Below are 4,546 nucleotides of genomic sequence, written 5' to 3'. Positions count from 1 at the left end.
AATGGTTGGAAGAAAAAAATTATAGAATATTTCATGACAAACAAAAAATATATTAAATTCAAATTTCAATGTCCATTAATAAAGTTTTATTGGAATACAGCAAAGCTAATGCATTTATATATTGTCTATAGCTGCTTCGTGCTTCAACAGAAGAGTTGTAGTTGCAACAGAGACCATGTGGCCCAAAAGCCTAAAATAATGAGTATCAGGCCCTTTATAAGAAAAGATTGCCAACTCCTTGGCTGGAGTATAGAAAATAAGGAGAATGGCATGAGATGTGTTTGAAAAGATAGAAAAAAAAGACAGCAAAAAGACCCAAGATCATGCAGGATATTACAAGCAAAAGAAAAATTTTGAATTTTATTATTTTTAAAGTTTGATGTATGATTAGAAACCACTGAAGGATAGAAAGCAAAGGAGTGTTATGATCCAATTTATGTTTCAGAAAGGTTATTATGACATTTGGCTTTGGGTCAGAATGTAGAAGATAGTGAAAGACCATTATTCCCACTGTAACAACTAGAAAAAAAACTAGATAACTACAACACAAATGGACATCAGGGATTTCTGGGTTCCACATAGGATGTAGAAAACTGGCAAAGGCAGCCGGGCGTGGTGGCTCATGCCTGTAATCCCAGCATTTTGGGAGGCCAAGGTGGGTGGATCACCTGAGGTCAGGAGTTTGAGATCAGCCTGACCAACACGGTGAAACTCTGACTCTACTAAAAATACAAAAATTAGCCAGGTGTGGTGTCATGCAACTGTAATCCCAGCTACTTGGGAGGCTGAGGCAGGAGAATCATTTGAACCTGGGAGGCAGAGATTGCAGCGAGCCAAGATCGCATCACTGTCCTCCAGCCTGGGCGACAGAGCAATACTCCATCTCAAAAAACAAAAACAAAAACAAAAACAAAAAACCTGGCAAACGCAGTGTCCTCCACATAACAATAAGAAAAATACCGATAAACTAAAAAATCATAACTTGAGGCCAGGCATGGTGGCTCACACCTGTAATCCTAGCACTTTGGGTGGCCAAGGTGGGCAGATCACCTGAGGTCTAGGAGTTCAAGACCAGCCTGGCCAGCATGGTGAAATCCTATCTCTACTAAAAATACAAAAATTAGTTGGGTGTGGTGGCATGTGCCTGTAGTCCCAGTTACTCAGGAGGCTGAGGTAGGAGAATTGCTTGAACCTGGGAGGCTGCAGTTGTGGTGAGCCAAGATCATGCCATTGCACTCCAGCCTAGGTGACAGAGTGAGACTCTGTCTCAAAAAAATCAAAACAAACCTTGAATTTATTGAAGAGCTGAGGGTGCAGGGCAACTAACTAGCCTGAACTCTAAGGAAAGATGGACTTTTTCAAGAAAAGACAGAACATGAACACTGGCTCACCTGTGTCAATGGGAAGATAAGGCCTCCATATAAGCAAGTATGAGGAATTCGATTAAAAGTTAAACATCTAAAGGCCAAGTGTGGGCTAGCATGAGTGCATAGAGCCCTTGGAAACCACAGACTCCAGGGGAATTCATACTCTTACAGGCACATGCCACCACATTCGGCTAATTTTTGTATTTTTCATAAAGATGGGGTTTGACCATGTTGGCCAGGCTGGTCTTGAACTCCTGACCTCAAGTGATCTGCCTGCCTCGGTCACCCAAAGTGCTGGGATTATAGGAATGAGCCCTGTGCCTGGCTATTTCATTTCTTAATAACCATCTAAAGATTTCTACCCTTCTAAGATGAGTCCTTTGACTCCCCTTTTGCCTTTCTCATTTTTTTTGGTTAATTATCCTTATGTTTTATTAGCACCTGTAAGACTCATGAGGAAAAGCTGCAACAGCATATTTGATAAGGCTTCTTGAACCATTGTTTGATTCTGTAGGAGTAATGGCACCCAGGATACCCATGTAGAAGGGTCCCTTTGAACCGTAGCATTTACCATGGTCTGGGTAATGGGCATATTCAGTGGGCGAATATCATGGTAAAGCCAGTCCAACATGACTTGCATATGAAGCATATCAGCTGCTTCATGTAGGGTGCGCCACTTGGCATTTTATAGGGAGAGTTGGGCAGTCCCCTTCTCAGGGTAAACAGACCTTATAGTGGCTTTTATTCATTCTACCAGACTGGCTGATACTCCTCGAGAAGAGCAACCTTACGACACATAATCATCAGATTCACCAAGGTTGAAATGAAGAAAAAAATGTTAAGGGCAGCCAGAGAGAAAGGTCAGGTTACTTACAAAAGGAAGTCCATCAGACTAACAGTGGATCTTTCTGTACATACCCTACAAGCCAGAAGAGAGCGGGGGCCAATATCCAACATTCTTAAAGCAAATAATTTTCAACCCAGAATTTCATATCCAGCTAAAACTAAGCTTCATAAGCGAAGGAGAAATAAAATTCTCTACAGACAAGCAAATGCTGAGGGATTTTGTCACCACCAGGCCTGCCTTACAAGAGCTCCTGAAAAAAGCACTAAATATGGAAAGGAAAAATGGGTACCAGTCACTGTAAAAACATACCAAAATATAAAGACCAACAACACTATGAAGAAACTGCATCAACTAATGTGCAAAATAACTAGCTGGCATCATGATGACAGGATCAAATTCACATATAACAATATTAACCTTAAATGTAAACAGGCTAAGTGCCCCAATTAAAAGACATAGACTAACAAATTGGATAAAGAGTCAAAAGCCATCAGTGTGCTGTATTCAGGAGACCCATCTCATGTGCAAAGACACACATAGGCTCAAAATAAAGGGATGGAGGAATATTTACCAAGAAAATAGAAAACAAAACAAAACAAAAAACAAACAAAAAAAGAAAACCATGGGTTGCAATCCTAGCCTCTGATAAAACAGAATTTAAATCAACAAATATCAAAAGAGACAAAGAAGGACATACATAATGGTAAAGGGATCAATTCAACGAGAAGAGCTAATTATCCCAAATATATATGCACCCAATACAGGAGCACCCAGATTCATAAAACAAGTTCTTACAGACCCACAAAGAGACTTAGACTCCCACATGATAATAGTGGGAGATTTTAACACCCCACTGTCAATATTAAACAGATCAATGAGACAGAAAATTAACAAGGATATTCAGGACTTGAACTCAGCTTTGGACCAAGCAGAACTAATAGACCTCTACAGAACTCTCCAACAAAAATCAACAGAATATATGTTCTTCTCAGCACCACATGGCACTTATTCTAAAGTTGACCACATAGTTGGAAGTAAAACACTCCTCAGCAAACGCAAAAGAACAGATATCATAACAGTCTCTCAGACCACAGTGCAATCAAATTAGAACTCAGGATTCAGAAACTCGTTCAAATCCACACAACTACATGGAAACTGAACAACCTTCTCTTGAATGACTACTAGGTAAATAATGAAGTTAAGGAAGAAATAAATAAGTTCTTTGAAAATGAGAAAAAAGAGACAATGTACCTGAATCTCTGGGACACAGCTAAAGCAGTGTTAAGAGGAAAATTTATAGCATGAAATGCTCACATCAGAAAGCAGGAAAGATTTAAAATCAATACTCTAACATCACAATTAAAAGAACTAGAGAAGCAAGAGCAAACAAATTCAAAAGCTAGCAGAAGGCAAGAAATAACTAAGATCAGAGTAGAACTGAAGGAGATAGGGACATAAAAAACCTTTCAAAAAATTAATGAATTCAGGAGCTAGTTTTTTGGAAATTTTAACAAAATACATAGACCACTAGTAAGACAAATAAGAAAAGAGAGAAGAATCAAATAGGCACAATAAAAAATAATAAAGGGGATATCACCACTGATCCCACAGAAATACCAACTACCATCAGAGAATACTATAAACACCTCTATGCAAATAAATTAGAAAATCTAGAAGAAATAGATAAATTCCTGGACACATGCACCCTCTCAAGACTGAAGCAAGAAGACATCAAATCCCTGAATAAACAAATAACAAGTTCTAAAATTGAGGCAGTAATTAATAGCCTACCAACCAAAAATAGCCCAGGACCAGATGGATTCGCAGCCAAATTCTACCAGAGGTACAAAGAGGAGCTGGTACCATTCCTTCTGAAATCATTCCAAACAACAGAAAAAGAGGGACTCCTCCCTAACTCATTTTATGAGACCAGCATCACTGTGATACCAAAACCTGGCAGAAACACAATGTAAAAAAAATTTCAGGCCAATATCCCTGATGAACATTAATGCAAAAATCCTCAATAAAATAATGGGAAACCAAATCCAGCAGCTCACCAAAAAGATTATCCACCACGATCAAGTTGGTGTCATCCGTGGGATGCAAGACTGGTTCAACATACACAAATCAATAAACGTAATCCATCACATAAACAGAACAAATGACAAAAACCACATGATTATCTCAACAGATACAGAAAAGGCCTTCGATAAAATTCAACACCCTTCATGCTAAAAACACTCAATAAACTAGGTATTGATGGAACATACCTTAAATAAATAAGAGCTATTTATGACAGACTCACAGCCAATATCATACTGTGTGTGCAAAA

This window comes from Homo sapiens, chromosome X, assembly GCF_000001405.40.
Source record: "Homo sapiens chromosome X, GRCh38.p14 Primary Assembly".
In the NCBI taxonomy this organism is placed as follows: domain Eukaryota; kingdom Metazoa; phylum Chordata; class Mammalia; order Primates; family Hominidae; genus Homo; species Homo sapiens.
Note: the sequence above shows the minus strand (reverse complement) of the source record.